This window comes from Homo sapiens, chromosome 1 (genome assembly GCF_000001405.40).
Source record: "Homo sapiens chromosome 1, GRCh38.p14 Primary Assembly".
Lineage (NCBI taxonomy): Eukaryota > Metazoa > Chordata > Mammalia > Primates > Hominidae > Homo > Homo sapiens.
The window spans coordinates 70,969,449-70,989,055 of record NC_000001.11 but is presented as its reverse complement, the minus strand read 5'-3'; the positions used below and the strand labels follow the sequence as shown (position 1 = coordinate 70,989,055).

Genomic DNA, 19,607 nt, shown 5'->3' with positions numbered 1-19,607 from the left:
TATTGTACAAGTTTTGGGGGGGGAATTACATGCAAACAATTTGAAATTATCATGGAACTTCTGGGCATGATACACAATAAAACCAGCCTCCTCATGTTAACTCCCAAAGCCTTGGTGACTGAACAATTTAGGTAATTAACTTCATTTTAGGCTAGCTATAATGAAAGCTCTTGGTTTCCTTTATAAGTGTGGCTTCTCTTCACATTACTTTAAGTTTTCTCTTGATAACTGCTCAGAATTTATTCTGGCTGATGGGATGACTTTATCACTATGTTAGGTTTTGGTCAGCTTCAGAAAAAAACAAAAAATAAATAAAACAATGATTAAAAGAACACAGATGGGTATCTCTTTCCTATTTATGTAAATTCTGGATGTAGATAGTCCAGGGCTGATCTGGCTACTTCCTGGTTATCAGAGATTGGAGCTATTTCTAGCTGTCATTCTTAGTTTACATCCTCATAATCCAATATAGCTGCTCGAGCTCCAGCCATTATTTTGCCTTCTGGTCAGTAGGAAGGAGGAAGGAATAAAGAAGGGTGTGCCTCTTTCCTTTAAGGAGAATTTTAGAAGTCTCATCACTTCTGCTCACAAATAATCGGCTGGAATTTGGTCACGTTGCCACAGCTAACTGGGAGAGAGTCTGGAAATGCAGTGTTTTAGTCGGTATCCACCTCATAATCAGGGCTCTGGTAGAAAGAGAGGAGAGTGGATGCTAGGAAGCAATTGGAAGGCTCTGCCATAGTCTGAGAATGGTTCCTTATTTTATGTACCCATATTGCATGACTTTTAAAACTTCCTATGGGTTATTTTATGGGAAAGAATTTATCAAGGTTTTGCCTGAAGATCACAGTTACTATGTTATTAAGAATAAGAGAAGCTGAATGATAAGTAATTTGCTGTATTACTTCATATTTAAAATTAAACAACTGAGTTTTTAAACACTTTTATGTAAGATCCAGATTCCAAATGGTCATATTGTGACTAATGGGGCTTTAGTCATTTTTATTTTGATACTCCTGTCACTGAGAGAAATGAGAATGCATTGTGAATTTAGACGCTTCATAACCACAAACTACATACAATTTACACTACGTAATGAGAGCTGTTTAACAATAAAACATTTTTATTGGTGAGGAGTCAAAGTTTTCTTTTAATGCCTAGCACAGTGTCTTACACATGAAAGATATGTAATCAATGAGTGCTAAATTGAATTGACCTTCACTAGTCAGTTGGATTTATTTATCGGATGTATAAAAGACCCTTGACAGCTTCTGCTAGTATCCAATCATTATTCTTATGGCAGTGTCACACTAGCTGGGATTTAATTTGATTATATTGGGTGGTTGTGGTTATGCCTATGCATAGCTGGGACCACAGGGAACAAATCACTTCTCAGCTGTGTTAAGTGTTTTGCCCCTGACAGTGACCACACCTGCAGCTTCAGGGACTAGGAAATCCTCCAGAACACTGAAGTGCATAGAGATCAATCAAATCAGCTCTTACTTGGAGAATAAGAATCGATTTATCATGGAACTACTTAGTGCAATTACCATATTTATTATAGTCTTTTATTTAATCCTTCTCAATTACTGATGTGGTAATATACTAGAAGAGTGCATTTAATATTTTCTTTTTATCTGAGCTATATTTCTTGTAATTTACCTTGTAAAAAACTGTAGATAAAATTGCAATGAGACCCTTGATTGACTCCTATTACTGATTATACAACAAAACATAACTTATACGTTTTGTCAGACTTAATTTGTCTTTAGACATATATTCTTAACTTGTTTGGAATTAGAATGGCTGTTCTTATTTGACATTGTTTCCATTTCCTTCCTGGTCACCTTTATAATACATCAAACTGGAAAAGAAAAGGCTCACATTCACAGATTTATAAAGGGGAGAACCATAACCATATTTGTTTAGGGCCATTGATATCTGTTTGGCTCTTAGAGTCTCTGTTTTTGCTAATGGCCAGGGTGAAAATTATACAGTGTACAACTAGGCTGTAATACAATTATAGTAAATACTAATTGTAAAATTAATACAATTTTAGGTGCTTAAAGATATCTGCTTAAAATTTTTCTAGAAAGAACAAAACTCTTACAGATGTTTGGTCTCTGCTGGCTGGAGCAGGAGCTAGGAGGTAGAAGAGTAGGAGATGGGTTCTTGATCTTGCGGTTGAAGATATTTTATCAATCCATTATTTTCTCATTTTGGGTTAATTCAGTCTCTTTGAGGCAAATGTTGTCTTTCATGGTTTCTCCCAGCACGCCCTTTCCTTAGCCAAGATGGCATCTGTGTGAAGGAGAAAGCTCACATACCCTTGTGATAATGCAGGTAATTGAAGGGAGGCAGCTTGTCAAAAGCAGGTCCTGATCCTGCCCTTTGGGTCCTCCCTGAAATCCCCAGAATCAATTGTTGTCTTGCCTGGTTGCTAGACAGCCACTGGCATCCACCATTGATTTCAGTGCTGGTGAAATCTGGGAACAGTTTCCTCAACATGTTCTAGCCTTGTGGTCCTGCTTCCTTGACCCCACTGTCATCTCAGTGACACAGAAGACCCTTGAGGCACAGCCACTTCCTTCCTCCAGTCCATTGCCTTAGGCTCGTCCCCTCATAGGAACTGCTGTCTCTGCCATGGCGTTACAGGAAAGGGGTCCCAATCCAGATCCCAAAAGACAGTTCTTGGATCTCAGGCAAGAAAGACTTCAGGGTGAGTCTACAGAGTAAAGTGAAAGCAAGTTTATTAAGAAAGTAAAGGAATAAAAAATGGCTAATCCATAGAAAAAGCAGCCCCGAGAGTCGATTGTGGCCCATTTTTATGGTTATCTCTTGATGATATGCTAAACAAAGGGCTGAGTATTCATGCCTCCCCTTTTTAGACCATATAGGGTAACTTCCTGTTGTTGCCGTGGCATTTGTAAACTGTCATGGTGCTGGTGGGAGTGTAGCAGTGAGGATGACCTGAGATCACTCTTGTCGCCATCTTGGTTTTGGTGGGTTTTGGCCAGCTTCTTTACTGTAAGCTGTTTTAACAGCAAGATCTTTATGACCTGTGTCCTGCACTGATCTCCTATCTCATCCTGTGACTTAGAATGCCTAACCATCTGGGAATGCAGCCCAGTAGATTTCAGAGTTGCTCTGGTTCAAATGCCTCTGACAATGTCATCTTAGCCCTAATCATAGCTGTGACAGACTGCCACTGCTACTACTTGAGACCGTCACTACTGTTACTGCCTGAGACCGTCATTAAAAGACTGAACAAAGTGACGAACATAGAAATGAAAACTTAAGACAAAAGTAACTATTTTAAGGAAGGGTCCAGGGGAAGAAGAGAGCTCCCTGCTTCTAGCGAGCAAAGGCAGCCCTTTGTATTTATTGGGTAGAAAGAGCAGGGAGGAGGAGGTAACGACTGGTCAGCTGCTTAATTGATCACAGGTTCACATTATTACTAACAGGCTTCAGATTTGCCTAATCACAAGAAACACTTGTGCCTGGATTGTGACTGCCCTCCTGTAGTCCTTCTGGGTGGCATACACAGTTTGTCAGTTCGCCAACATTCTGCATTTATGAGAAACAGTTTGCTGTTTACTCATATAGCCTCCAGTGGTACACTGAGTTGATCATGACTCTTACTCTTTTGGCCTCCAACAATAGCAACTCCATGGCAGTCTCTATGGTGTTCAGCTTTCCACTGCCTTCCATAAGCCCCAGGGAGACTTCAGGGAGGCTGGAGGAGAGTCAGGGAATCATAATTGGCTTTCTCCTTCATGTCCACACACGCATGCGGTGACACCTCATGAGCCTGTGTACTAAAGAGCTTGTGACCATTTCTTCATTCTCTGTGTGTTTCTGTTCTTTCTCCCGCTTCTGGATTTTGACTCTGAGGCCATCGTAATGGAGAAGTAAGGATGTTATCTCCTACTCCTCTTTCTATGCTGTCTCCTCTTCTAGCACTAGAAGGATTTTGTCGGCAAAGGCCCTTCCTTGCAAAGGTTTCCTCCTGCTGCTGAAGTTGGCATTAGCTCTCCCATTTCCCTAGGGCTGTCGTGATGGAAGGGTTTCCATGAGAGTGGGGAGGGGATGGAAGACAATATTATCACCAATTCAAGAAAATGTATTTGGAAGTTTTTGAAGATTTAGAGTACATTTTTGTTGTTTCACTAAAATATCTCTTTAATTTTTCTAAATTGTGTAACTTTATTCTTAACTGTTTTTGGAAAATACATCTTTTTCTTATTTTTTTCCTTTAAATTATCAACTAAGATGTGAGTTCTTGGGCTTTGCTTATTGACTTAAAATTTTTTTTTAATTTTATTTCTAGAGACAGGGTCTCACTGTGTTGTTCAGGCTGGAGTGCAGTGGTACAATCATAGTTCACTGCATCTTCTAACTCCTGGGCACAAGGGATCCTCTCATCCTCCCACCTCAGCCTCCTGAGTAGCTGGGACTATAGGCTCACACCAGCACACCTGACTAATTTAAAACTTTCTTTTTTGGTAGGGACAGATCTTGCTGTGTTGCCCAGGCTGGTCTCAAATTCCTGGCCTCAAGTGATCCTCCCACCTTGGCCTTGCAGAGTTACCCTTATTGTTTTATTAGTAGAGCAATTTTGAATAGTTAGAATAATTTTGTTAATTTAATGAATTTTTTTTTTTTTTTTGAGGCAGAGTCTCAGTCTACTGCCCAGGCTGGAGTGCAGTGGTATGATCTTGGCTCACTGCAATCTCCATCTCTCTGGTTCAAGCGATTCTTGTGCCTCAGCCTTCCAAGTAGCTGGGATTACAGGTGTGTGCCACCACACTTGGGTAATTTTTGTATTTTTAGTAGAGACAGGGTTTCACCACGTTGGTCAGGCTGGTCTCAAACCCCTGACCTCAGGTAATCCACACATATTGGCCTCCAAAGGTGCTGGGATTACAGGCATGAGCCACCACACCCAGCCTTAATGAACTTTAATAATGTTACTATTTGTGTCGATTAGCAACATAGCAGATAGTCACAACAGCTAAACCATACAGAACATTTTCTATACTCAACCCAAAGGTTGTGTGTACCGTTCGTCTTCCGGCCAGTTCAGGCTTTCCATGGCAATAAATCCCTGGGGACTAGGACCTTTCAGGAAGCAGCCTCTGGTTAAAGTCTACTTCCAGGGATATGGCTGTTTCCTCATGGTTCTGAGAGCCAGGAGGCTCTACGTGTGGAACAAACTGACCAAATTCAATGAATCAGGAAGTGACAAAGATAGTTCAGGGAAGGATTAGTCTCTAGATTACTGTATTTTTGATACCAATAATTGTTCTTCCTTTTGCTTATTTTACCTTTATAGAGCTGGGAGCACATAAAAGATAAGGCAGGATGTGAATTTGACCAGGTGTGCGTGGTTATCACCAGGCTTAAAGAAAAAAATATCTCCCTTTGACATATAAAGAGCTTCTAAATCAGACAGCAAATCATAACTAGTGTCACTCAGTGTCAGGCATTGTGCTGGGTTCTTTAGAGTTACAGAACATTTATGATACAGTCTGTGATTTCAAAGAGCTTGAGTCTTGTTGAAAATATTATCCATTCATTCGCTAAATATTTAATGAGTTCATACTATAGGAGAGGCACTGTGATATGTGGGCATAGAGCAGAAACAAGGTAGATTTGAACCCTGCCTCAATGGAACTGATAATCAAGTGGTACTGATATTCAATAACTGACTCTGGATGTTTCCAAATATCCCCAATTCTAGCCATAGAAAGTTCCGTTGTTTTTTTTTTCAGATTAATTAAAAAACTCAAGCACATCCTGGGTGACTTCATGAAATGCAGTCCCTCTCGAGCACTCTGATGATTCCAGGGAGTCATTAGGTTCTGGCTGTCACCTGACAGGTCTCTCTCTGGGCTATGGTTTTGCATTTCCACAGTTCCCTTCAGGCTCTCTCTGATCTGTTTCTCTAGGTGGCTGTCCTCTCTCTACTGTGCTTCTAATCAGTCTGGGGAGCCTCCTTTTTTTATTCTTCAAAGCTTCACCCTCATAAAGCTCCTTATTCACTTAGTTGTTTAGCCTCTTTTTAGAAATTTGTGATTTACCTTATTTTTAATTGACAAATAATCACTGTATATGTTCTGTATTTATGGGGTATGTTGTGATGTGTTGATATATGTTTACACTGTGCAATGATTAAATTAAGCCAATTAACAACTCTATCACCTATTTATGAGTCTTTACCGAGAACTTCAACTGAGCCAAGGGTGAATGAGGAAGGAGAAAATGAAAAAACAGTGAAATTTAAAAAGCAGAGATAACTACTCCTAATGTTTATTGACTGCTCCCTTGCATAGATGTCCACAAATGGACAGTAAATTTTTTAGCTCTGCAAATATGGAGTGGGAGACAGAGAGGAATGATGGTGGAAACATGACAGGAGACTTGTGGCCCATGAAATAAATGTTTGTCTTTATTTTAAGGCTAATAGAAAAATAAGAAGCAATTTTACAAAACATGTATGTTGGGATGTCTGAGTATGTATGTGTGTAATGAGCAGGCTCTCTTTAGAAACAATTGTGTGGAGAATGGCTTAGCTACCAATATTAGGTGGCATACACTAGATGCTGGATGAGCAGGAGCAGTGTCATATACTGATCGATGTTTTCCCTCCCAAATCTGACAGTAGATCTGTCAGACATCAGGAATTTCTTCCCAACAGCCTGGGGGGTGGAATACTGCAGTCCAATCACAAATGATATTCCCAAAGTGAGAGGCAGCAGGTGTAAGACTGAGCTTATTTATATAGCAGGTCTGTGTGATTACACACAGTATTGTAAAATATACCTGGTAGAATAATTTCATGGAGAAAAAGTCCCTCTTAACCTGGTATCAGAAGTAGATGTACAGGGAAGTGAATGAAGTTGAAGTTTCAAAGTCTCTCAATTTCACAGGCCTTTTCCTAGGCACCTAGCTTTATATTCATTTTATTAAAGAAAGTTTTGTACTCTTCAGATGCCACAAAACCTGGATCCACCTCTGTCCAGTATAGTCCCCAGGTATTCATGGAGAAAGTGGAATTTGAACTTGCCCTTGAAAGAAAATTAGTCTGTGCATATGTCAAAAAGAATGGGAGCCCATTCTGAGTGAGGATAACTGTGGGGGCAGCATGGAGGGTGCACTGGAGGGCCATGAGTCAATTGATTGATGGGTACCAGGGATCACTAAAGCAAGTGTTGGATACCCAAACTCATCATCTAAGGTGTTTGCATTGGTTGGTTATTTACGTTCCTTGGACCATAGGAAATAGATCAAAACTTATGTTAGCTTAAGCAAGAGGAGGTTTATTGTAATAGAAACAGCATTATGGGCCATGCACAGTGGCTCATGCCTGTAATCCCAACACTTTGGGAGGTTGAGGTGGGAGGATCACTTGAGCTCAGGAGTTAGAGACCAGCCTAAACAACATAGTGAGATCCTATCTCTACAAAAAATAAAAACATTAGCAGGGTGTGGTGATGCATGCCTGTAGTCCCAGCTACTTGGAAGGCTGAGGTGGGAGGCTTGAGCCCAGGATGTCAGGTTGTAATGAGCTGTGATTGTGCCACTGCGCTCCAGCCTAGGTGACAGAGACAGACTCTGTCTGAAAGAAAAGAAAGAAGGAAGGAAGGAAGGAAGGAAGGAAAGAAAGAAAGAAAGAAAGAAAGAAAGAAAGAAAGAAAGAAAGAAAGAAAGAAAGAAAGAAAGAAAGAAAGAAGAAAGGAAGGAAGGAAGGAAGGAAGGAAGAGAGAGAGAGAAAAGAAAAGGAAAAAGAAAAGAAAAAAAAGGAGAAAGAAAAAGAAACAATAGTATGGCTTGGAGTGTGTAGGCTGGAGTTGGAGAGTAGATTAAGATCCTGAAAATCAACAACTGGAGTAAATGGAATCTCTTGCCTATTGTCCACCATTATTGGACCCAGTTATTTTCTACTTGTCATAATTTTGTTTCTATTAACAGTTGCCTATTCTTTCTCTGTATTGTCAATATAATTCCTTAGCTTAATCATCTTCTTCCTCATGGCTCTGTTCCTGATACTAATCTTCCTTATTTTCTTGACATTCTCAAAAAAGGAAGTCTCTTATAAGGTCACTGTTCCTTGACTGGCAAAGTCATAGATCAGTGGCTAACCTATTGCTTGAGCTTGCACACCTTGTCCAATCAGGTATGCCTAAAATGTACAGAATCTTTGCACAAAATAGGCGACCTGTAGTTGCCCCTTCAGAAGTTGTGGGCCAGGGAATTTCCCTTACAAGAACCTCTAGGTGAGGCTAGCATAATAAATGGCCTGTTTGTTATGGCTGAAATAGGAATAGCTAATATTTTCTGAGTGCTTACTTTGTGTCATTGCATCAGATTCTGTTCTAAGTGTTTTATATACATTAACCCCTTTTTTAAAAATTTAAGAGTCAGGGTCTTGATCTGTCACCCAGGCTGGAGTGCATTGGTGCCATCATGGCTCAGATTCCTGGGATCCCTCAAATTCCTAGGCTCCAGGAATCCTCCTGCCTAGGTCTCCCAAAGCACTGGGATTACAGACATAATGGGCAGCCTGCATTAATCCTTTAATTCCACCAACAATCTTATAGGGGTAGTTACAACCTTTATTCCCATTCCACCAAGAAGGAAACTGAGGGCCAGCAAGTTGCAGTAACTTGCCCAAGGTCACGCAGCTAATAACTGGTGGAACCAGGATTCCAGCTGGGCAATATTTCTAGAGTTTACCCTTCTTCCTGCCTAAGGTTTTTGGCTATCAATCCCCCCAAACTATGTCGAAGTCCCCACTTATTTGAAAGTGGTAACAGTTCTATTTCTCCAATTCCCATCCACCCCTATCCAATCTTAGTCCAAAAGTGAAACATCCACAATAACTAGCTGTATTTGCTCTCTGCCTTCCACTCTTGCTCATTCAGTCCTGTCTTTGTTCAAGACTTCCCCGCCTCCCTTCCAGTTCTTCTTTTCATGCTCTGCACTTCCTTATGAAACCTCAACTCCCCTCAATTACTTTAATATTTCCCCTTTCTGTGAATTCTTAAGGCTTCTACAATCTGTGCTATTGTGAAGAGACCAGTATAACTGCATTTAAGGTCTATTATCTTAAGAATATATTTTGATGTTGTAGAAAGAGAAAAACACAGAACCCCCTTAAAAGATGAAGATTCAAGAAGCAGTGCTAGAAGTTACAAAGCCTAGTAACTGTATAATCTCTTTAGATAGTGAGGCTGTAAAAACTCCAAAAGATGAAATTAAATTGAGGAGACAGTTGTAAGGCATTGGAGTCTTTAATATAGTTTGAGTTGATCAGAGTCTCACGAAGTGGTGTGAGAACGCTCAATGGAAGGACGGTCCCCAGCCTGCCCACTTTGTTTCTCCAGGCAGTTTGAATTCTGAGAGGAAAGATAAGAAAGGAAGGAAACTTTGGAAAGTAAGAAGGGGAAACCGTTTATTTTTGTTGTTAGTGTGATATAGCAGGCCCCGGACTAGAAATGATGGCTCACACCCAAAAGACCAGCAAGTAAATAATGACAGTAGATAACGTGCAGCTGTACCCATTTCCTCAGAATTTTGCTGAAGTGACAAATCTGTCTGTATTCTCTGTACAGAATAACAATTAATTTTTTTATGAAAGCAATCTTTTTACAGCTAAATAATGAATTAGGCACCAGAAGCCTGGTTTCTAGTTCTGGTTCTAGGTCTAGATTTGAGCAAGTCAACTTCACTCAGCTTTTTTTTTTTTCACCTATAAAATAGAAATAATATCTACTCACTTATAGACATTGCATATAAAAAATGTAGAAGAAATCATTCATTCAAACACCACATAGTAATTAAACCACGTTGTGGCTGACTCTGGTTTACTCACTGAGGGTCCATCAACAAACAGAAACGTGAAAATCTCTGCTCTTGTGGGGCTCACTGAGTAGTATAATTGGCTAGCTCACATGTTTTAGTCTTTTAACCCTGCTCAGTTATCTATACTTTCATTTCTTTAAGAAACAAGCATTTGATGAATAAGGTATGTTCTAGGGTATTTATGCGTGGATTAAATCTACAAATCTATTATTGGGCCTAGTGATAGAGCAGAAAGAGAAAGCTAGATTCCAGATAGGACTTTGCTGCAAGCTAGCTTTGTGACTGTAAAAGAAAGTGGCTTCATATCCTCATCTGTAAATAAAAGAGTTGGATTACATCATCTCCAAGGCTCCTTTTAGCTTTAAAATGTGCAGTTTTCTTTATGCCCACAGGGATCACTACCCTCTTGGTGGCAGCTGGCATGGTGCCTAAGAAGAACTTGCCAGTGCTCAGAATATACCCTGCAAATTCTAACAAAGTAGATGATGGTGAATATCACCATCCTATGCTCTGGAGAGTGACTATGTGCCATTTTCTACTATTTCTTGTTATTTCAATTGCTTCCCAACTAGAGCACACACTCCTGCAAGGCAGGAATCAATAAGTGCATTATACATATTATTATCCGGATCAGGAAAGACTCCTCTGATATCAGAAGCCTGGATTTGTGTTTCTAAAATTATCTATATTTTCCCCCTTGAGTAGGTCAAATGCTGCTCCTATTACCTTATTAATTTTTTGTTTTGCTTATTAATTTGACCAATTAAGACTATTTTATGTCACGAACAATATAAAATTTAGTTCTACCCTTATTAGAATAATGTGTTCATTCCAGCTTAATGAAGTTTCATTATACTTGCATAAAAAGTGGGGGGAGGTTTGTAAATACTAGAACTTAATATGCAATACAGGTATATCTAGCCTGAGTACTACAATCAAAGATGAGAGCATATACCAAAAGTTTCTAAGAGACTAGTTTTATTAGCACAGGAATGAAAACCAATTATAGAATTTGGAGGGAGCGAGGCAGTAGAGTGTGGTTAGGACATGTGTTTTGGAACTAGACTGCTGGCATTTGAATTCAAACTCTGCCACTCATCTGGAGGTGACCTTAGGCAAGTTACTTTACCTATCTATGCTTCAGTTTCTGCATATCTCAAGTGAAGATGATAAGAGTACCGATTACAAATAATTAAATGAATTATTATTTGTAAAGTGTTTGAACAGTTTCTGACAAAGGGAGAGGACCTTCTAATTCTGGTCAGTTGTTTAGGAGGGAGCTAAAAGGAGAGGAATTAGGAGCACCTGAGACTGCATGTCACTTAAAGAAGCTGGTGTTAAAGGGAGGCAAAACATTCGACTGCACTTGGAGGAAGGAGTAGAGACAAACAGTCAAGCACAGGTGTTTGTGTGTATTGGTTTCCCAAGACAAGGGAAACTTCCACATATCTGAAAGTGGATGGAAAGGAGCCGGTGGTCAGGAAGTTGGAAGAGGGAGGGGATAGCTATGGGAGCGGGATGACCTGTAACAAGGACTCAAGTAATCAGAGGTGAAGAGAGGGAATTCTAGGATGGTTTTCTCTTTTTCCTTCAAAATCTAGCTAGATTTATGCCAAGTTACACTTCTGGCCTTGAAATTCTGAAGGTGACAGCACAGACCATCATAGTCCTCAGTTATTCAGGATCAAGCAGTGGATGGGGATAAATTAGTGAGCTAGTGTAGGTGAGCAGAAAGAACTATTAATGACATGATGGAAAGTAGCTATAACCCTGTGGTACAGCTGGGTCATTCTGGAAGGAATCTCGTAGACAAACTAGCATAGTGTTCAGCCCACAGAGGCAGCATGGCTCTGTGAATACAGGCATCAGGCATCCTCAGCTAAACCATAAATGGCACAGGATCCACAAATGAGCCATAGCAGAAGGCCAAACAAATGAGCTATGTTTCTGGAGTCTCCATTTGGTGTCTGTGACGTGCCCATTTACACATCAATCTTCTTTCAGAATTGCCATAGGAAAATAATTTGGCCCAAGAGTTAAATTCAAATTGGAAGATCAACACCGACCCTCCCTCCAAATACGCAGTTAAATAGCCTGAACCACCTTAACTGAATTATTTTAAAATATCCTGTAACACAGCTTAGTAAATAAAGCTGTCTAAATTGAAATCTTTGGGGTCTCACATCCAAAGGGAGGATAAAGTTTGCTGGCAGATTGGATATCTTATATACTTGGCAATTTGGGAAGAACACAGCAGAGCTGCAAGTTTAGTTGAAACAAGAACAAGATTTATTTCAGACGGGAAGATCCTAGGCAGCATAAAGGAAAATCTTTATGGCTGCAAGAGCTGATATGTCTAAGAGAGGCTCGTTAGTACCTGCTTATCCTTATACTTTCAGGACAGGTCATATTTGATGTGAATGAAGATCAGTGTATTAAAGGGTTTAAGCATGAAATGAAATTAAAGGCAAAGGAGCTTGGCATCACCTGACATATGGTAGTCTTTATCTTTTAGAAATGGGAAACTTTCAAAGATATTTATGATTTGCCAAGATTTGCCTTGGAAACAATATGCAGGATATGTTAAAGAGAAGGAAAACTTTGGTCAGAAACAGTAGTAACAAGGCTATTAGTAGATCAAATCATATATAATCCCCAATATACAGCAATTTTTTAAAATGGAATTTATTTTTTGGAGCAGTCCATAGCAGAATTGAGAAGTGCAGAGATTTTTCACAGACTCCCCTGGCCCCACATATGCATAGCCTCCTCCATTATCAATGTCCCCTACCAGAGTGGTATGTTTATTGCAATTGATGAATCTACAAGGACACCGCATTATTACCCAAAGTCCATAGTTTACATTAGGGTTCACTCTTGCTGTTGTACATTCCATGGGTTTGGAAAAATGTATAATGACGCGTCCACTATTATGGAATCATAGATTAGTTTCACAGCCCTAAAAATCCTCTGTGCTCCACAGACAGTGCCACTAGGGAAACATATGCTGCAGAACTCTTGGCTCTTGACAAACTACCTTGCAGTGCCTCTTACTTTAGGTTTTTTTTTTTTAATCTCCTGCTATTTGACATTGTACAGGTATGTGATATCGAAATTCCTACAGCTGTAGTCTGCTTCTAAAGTTTAGCCAACAAATAATGCAAGCCCAAGGGCATTTCCTTAGTTAAAGCAGGCCTCTAAATAAGAACCAAGCAGCATAATAGCAGGAAGAGGAACCTAGTTGTCAGCTAAGGTAAGAACTTATCCTAACCAGATCGTTCTTTAGCAGATGGAGAATCTTCTCACATAGGAGTACAAAGGGGGCTTTGAAAGTCTTGCAGACAAAAAATTTAAAAAGACCCCAAAAACCTGTTCTCCTTTCTCCTCCAAGTCTGACCACTCTTCCAGAACCATAAAATTTCTGTGCAAATTGCCACTAAACTTTTTCTGTTTGCTGTGGAATAGGTATTGGTCAAAGTGTAATTTTTGCTGCAAAGAAAACATGGCATTTTATGATTCTTCACACAGCACTGCCTACCTAAAACAGAAATCATCCATTTGCTTAACACAGTTAAAGATTGGAAAACTATATGTCTGTCTGGACTGCTTGTATAATGCCATGCCACTTAAAATGGCCGTGCTGTTTAAGATAATCTTAATTAAATTTTTAAGGAAAAAAAAACTTTAGAAAGCCAATTAAAAAAGACTGAAGAAACACTGGATTTTATTTCTTTCTCCTTTCTCTTGTAACAAATTTTTATGAGGAATTCATTTTATTGTGTCTTTTTCTTATAAGACAATTACTGAGAAATTTATAAAAAAAAGGAATCGTTTTTCTGCTGTGACATCCAATGAATTTAGGAGATGTGTAATATGGAGAATACTGTTGAGGGATGGGCCTCAGGACTGGCTGTGCAGCATTGTCCACTCAGGCCACAAATGCTTATCCACTATGATTTCTGTGCCAGGCACCGTGGTAGCTGCTGGAGACTCAGTGGTAAGCAAAACCAGGCACAGTTCCTGCTCTTGTGAAGCTTATAGCTTAGGTACAATGACACATCAATAAATAATCACACACATAACTATACGTTTCATATGCCATGAGTTCCTGAAAGAAAAAATAGTAGATGTCATATAGTGAGGCACCAGTCCTAGTGAACAGGATGTTCTCCAAGAAAGTGATTCTCCAAGTTGAGATCTATCAGATGAGTAGAAGTTAGCCAGGTGATGAAGAAATGGAAGCATACTGCAGGCAGAAGAAAGTGCAAGTACAAAGGCCCTGAGGTATGAAGAAGGATGACACTGTTCATAATGTTCGAAGATGGCTAGTGTAGCCTGAGCATTTAAGATCAAAAAGGCAAAAAGTTTGAAAAGAGTTTGAAATTGCATCCCGAGGCCAGATAAAACAGCCTTTGATGTCATGTTAGGAATTCTATTCTTTATCCCAGAGCAATGGGAAATCACGAAAAATAATCAGCTGGAGGGTGGTTGAATTAGATTTCCCTTCACCAATCACTTGAGGTCAATGAGTTCTTATTCAGCCTTTAACAAGTGCTGTGATAACTTCCCCAGTCATATCAGACATGGTCTCTGCCTGCAAGTCGTATTTGATGCGTAAGTGTAGGAGGAAATAAGTGTGAGTCAAAGCATGGAAGTAGAAATGAGATGGTCCTAGGAAGGTAATATCTAAAACATCCATATTGATCATAGCCAATGTGACTTTGATATGCAGGTTTTGGTTTTGCTTTTCTTTAAAAATACTCAAGGAAGTGTCCTGTGAAATCCTCTGTCTGTTCACAGATCAGGTACCACACAAACAACTATGCATCCAGCTCCACCTCCTTACCCTGCCAGTGTTCCTCAACCTTGATGTGGAGCGACCATTTGGAAAGGTGAGATTTAGAAACTGCCGGGATTTATAGCATAGCCTTCCCCCGTCTCTCTGTTCTAATCGGAGTTGATGCTACAAAGGCAGACCATCTCTGAGAATTAAAATGCAAATTAAACATATACATCTGATTAAGAGTGCTAGATTCCTTAGAGGAGTTGTTGTTTTTAACTTTACTTAAGTTTCCTCCAACCAAGAGTTTTTTGAAACTGGCTTGAGTCTGATCTTGTGACTGATCAAGTCTCTTGCCATGAAAGAATCTGTAAGTCACTGATTTTTTCATAGTAAGGACAGTTTCCAGTAGTATGTTAAGGCTAGGCCACTCCTATTTTAATTAGGTATCAGAATCCAGCGTGTTCGCCATATGGCTCATATGGCTAGCACACTCTCAGTCGCATTTTTGATTAGATCTATTTTGAATAAAACATGTACTTCAATGAATGAGTACTCTAAAAGGCAGAACTTAATCCCAAATGTCATGTATGATTGGCCATATCAAATTTTGAGCTTTAGTTTCTTCCCTCAAGCACCTCTTTTTAGTATTTCTATTAATGGCTAATTGAATGGAAAGTCTGCTGGGAATTATAGCATTGTGTGATTTTTTTCTTTTTAAGAAGGACTGTGAAAAGGTTTATTTTTTCAGAGATAACACAGTTGACTTATCAAATGAGTTGAACTCTTCATTTTAGCGAAAAAGCATGCTCATTTTATTTTATTCTCTGGGTAATGTCAGGTACAGTAACCCCTCTGCTCGGTACAAGTTGTTATAACTGATATGAACATTCAAGCAGCTCAATTTCTTTAGACATTTATCCTCATGGTTGAGGGAACTGAGAGAATTTTTCCTGTTTTTCAGAGGAAGAGATGAATGTGTTTTTTCAATAGAGATATATAGTGTGCCACTTACAGGATAAGAACAAGCTGGTTGATTCTGGAAAACAGCTTAAAAATCATGAGGCCAATACAATTTTTACTCAACTCACATTTATAATCCTATATCCTTCCCCACATCTATCTGTCTACGTATCTATCATCTATCTATCTATCTATCTATCTATCTATCTATCTATCTATCTATCATCTATCTATCTATCTATCATCTATCTATATCTATGTATCTATCTGTCTATCTATCTATGTCTATAACACACACACACACACACACACACACACACACACGTGCACACTGGGTACTGTTTTGCTGTTAATACAGATTTCCCTAGAAAACCAATGAAGGGAAACGAAGAGAGATAACTTGTTTCCATCTCTTTTTTGGTAGGTTCACTCTAACTCCATTTTTAATTTTTTAAAGTAAATCTTATTATACTTTTGCTCAGTTACAAAAATAAGCCCTGTTCTCTATGGAAACTTTGGAAAATGATGAAAATTAGAAAGAAAAATAGCTTACTAAACTTTAGTCTCACCAGTCAGTAAAAATTCAGTATCATGTTAGTGTATGTTTTTCTATTCTTTTTTTCCTGCAGTTTTTTAATTTTGTTTTACATACTTATGTTAATATTATGATATACATTTTTTAATCTTGTTCTCATTTTATTTAGCATAAAATAAGCATTTCTCAGACCATTTGCAAATTCTTTGTGAAGCCATTTTAATATTTATGTAATAGGTTATCTAAATAATACACTGTAGCTTACTTAACCATATGGTCAATTTTGTGGTCAAATTTGCCACATTGATGAAAATATTACTGTATCATTACCCAAGTACTGAAAGGCAGAGGTTTGAAAAAACTGTTTATATATATATATATTTTACCATAAGGAGAATTTATGGAATAAGTAATGTGTAATATTTAATGTTCTTTAAAGATACATGTAGACAGACTGTTTGCGAAAATAATTAGATTTAAAATTTCATCAACCGTGTGTGAAAAAATTTGCTTTATACTAATTGGCACTGTGTACTATCTTAAAAAAATAAACAGAATACTTTAATTAATGAATTAATTATGTTTTTTTGAGATGGAGTCTCGCTCTGTCAACAGGCTGGAGTGCAGTGGCATGATCTCGGCTCACTGCAACCTCCACCTCCCAGATTCAAGCGATTCTCCTGCCTCAGCCTCCCAAGTAGCTGGGACTACAGGTGCACACCACCACACCCAGCTAATTTTTGTATTAGTAGAGATGGGGTTTCACCATGTTGACCAGGATGGTCTTGATCTCTTGACCTCATGATCCACTCGCCTCGGCCTCCCAAAATGCTGGGATTACAGGCATGAACCACCGCGTCTGGCCTACTTTGATGTTTTGATAGGAAAATATTCTATTTCCTGGCTATTTCAGCTTCTATTCTTCCTTATTTCTTTTTAGACTAGAGTTATATACTAATTGAAACTTGTTTTTACAACAAGATTATTTGACCATTTATTGTGCCTACAATTGCTTTTTTAAATCTAAAACACATGTAATTACTTCAAAAGAGAATGTTTTAAACGTTTAAAGCAAACAAATTTATTACTTATATTTTACTCCTCACACCATACACAAAATTTAAAAAAAATAATCCCCATCCATGCTTATTGCATCTTTCTCTCTCTATTCTAACAGATAATGAAAGAACGGAGTTGGACATTTTATTGCAATTCCTGCTTCCCTGAATTTGCATATTTCTTCCCACCTGAGAAGGATAATTATATATTTTAATTTGGATTATTTCTTCATTTTTATCTTTTTATTTTAATGATTGTTTTGTCAGTAATACCCATGGAGATCAACTTTATTATTATAATCCATGCCTCTGAATATTAGATTGGTTTCTTGGATGGGATTTTGAATATGCATTTAAGAAGTTGGGAAGAATTTCACAGATGATGATTGGAGGAAAAGTGATGAAAAGAAAGACCTGTGTTCCAGGAGTTTTCTCCAACTTCAAACCTTTACGTGAATCTTAACCAAAGTGGACATCTTTACATTTCATGATAGCTTGCTTTTGCAATATGAGTTTGAAAAATCAGTATAAGCTTATGATGGTGAAAAGTCAACATATTGAGAGTGATAATTCAATTAATAGGATATGAACTTAACGACATATAAAAGCAAATGAGGGCAGGAGGGAATCGTGACAAAAAATATTTGTGCCCAATTATGATTAATGTTTTAGAGATGTTGTGTCCCTGTGGGCTTAGCATGGAACTAAAAGTTCCTAAGTCTCAATTCTAGTTATGTGTCATTTAGTAACTCAGGAATCTGCTTAATTGTTATTTCTAAGCTTTTGATGACAAAGGAGTGATGCAGCTAAGGGCATCCTTGGAGTGTCATAAAAAACAAATTTGAGGTTGAATGATTAGCTGCGCAGTTAGAGTGATAAAAAAATCCAGGTAGGCCTTCTGATTCACCATGACCAAGTCAGGATTTCTTAATATTTCTTTTCTGGCAGCATATACAAAGGCAAAATTAATAAATAACAGTTGTTGAATAACAAACTTTATTACGTTTTTATAAAATAAAAGAATCTATTTTGTCTGTATTAAAATAAAAAACTTTGTGGACTTCTAAAAGATATACTTGAGTCATCTAATAGTTTTCAACGGATATGCCGTTACCTGCTTTTAAATTCAATCAGCTTTTCTTCTTCTTGTCCTTTTTTTTCTCTTCCTCCCTTTCTTCTGTCCCCTCATTTGCTTAATTCACCACATATTTACTGAGTGTCTCCTCTTTAGGTACCATGCTAAAGGCCATGCTGTCACCTATAGGACATCTTGGGAAGCGATGAAAATATGGTATCAGAAGTTTTGCTGTAGGATCATATGCTGTGACTACATATCGTTTCTGCCAACTATAATGACTCAATAGTAGAGTCCTTCTTAAATAGCAGAAGCAGTTGTGAATTAGCTATAAACTATAACTATTTTCTTCCAAATCTATATTTAAAATGGTCTTAACTAGCACAAAGCTGATGCTGTACACAATCCCTTTACTTAGGTTTAAATTCAGTGAATTTTATTGAGTACATAGTATTTGCCAACATCAGAAGAATGTCCATTCTTCTGTTACTTCTATCTGTTCCTCATTCACCTGTGTGACTAGCTGTCATCTATTCACTATTTTATTTTTACAAAAGATGGTACAGTTTATAAAGGGCTTAACCGATTTTTCATACCTAACATAAGTAAGAATTCAAATTCAGGTTCAAGTTTTTAAAATTCCAGGTGTACTGTTCCTTCTTACAGCACAATGGGATGAAAGATTTGCTGCAGTGATATTCTGTTTACAAGACAAAGTGATGTGGTAACAGAAGCATGAGTTTGGAATCAAACTTGGATTTAAATCTGGCTGTGCCACTCACAAGCTCTGTGACTCTGAGAAAGTTAATTGCATCTCAATAAATTAATCTATAAATTGAAGATAATAGTACTTACCTGTAGGGTAATTGTAATAACGTACATAAAATGAGTGTTACACGATAGATCCTCAGAAAGTATTTACTATGATTGATTCTTTACCCAGACTTATTTCTACCTATTTAATGTGAATCTCAATTTCAACTATAAACCGGCTTCTTGACTCTGTGGGTTTAAATGTCATGAACGGAATCAACCCCAACCATCCTTTGGATGCTATTCTTGTTTTTAAGACCTCACGATAATTTTTGTCCATGCAAAACCTACCCACCTCCCACATGTTCAGATCTCACCTTGTCCTTAGGCCTTGAATACTTTAAGTATTTTTGTTTTTTCCTTACCTCTGTCTGCAACTTTGAAGTTACATAGTACTCATTTTGACTATTGTATTGTACTATTCCTTGAATATTTTCATTGTATATGTCTCTTCCCATGTGACAAAACTGTAATTCATGGTGGAGAGGACTCGTTTCTTAATTTTTTTCCACAGGT

At 38.2% G+C, this 19,607-nt stretch overlaps 1 protein-coding gene across 11 annotated transcripts in view; it reads left to right on the top strand.

Annotated features, from left to right (window-relative positions):
* PTGER3 (prostaglandin E receptor 3) overlaps nucleotides 1–19,607 on the top strand; it is a 195,459-nt gene that overhangs the window by 58,761 nt on the left and 117,091 nt on the right. For 3 of the 11 annotated variants that reach the window (XM_011541810.4, NM_198714.2, NM_001126044.2), the window contains exon 3: nucleotides 14,668–14,759. The exons of 7 other annotated variants lie outside the window; for them this stretch is intronic. In XM_011541810.4, the coding sequence (XP_011540112.1) occupies nucleotides 14,668–14,759 (92 nt within the window). Of the gene's footprint in view, nucleotides 1–14,667; nucleotides 14,760–17,322; nucleotides 18,275–19,607 lie in introns of those variants that run through there. One more of the 11 variants, NM_198719.2, reaches the window with a different exon arrangement.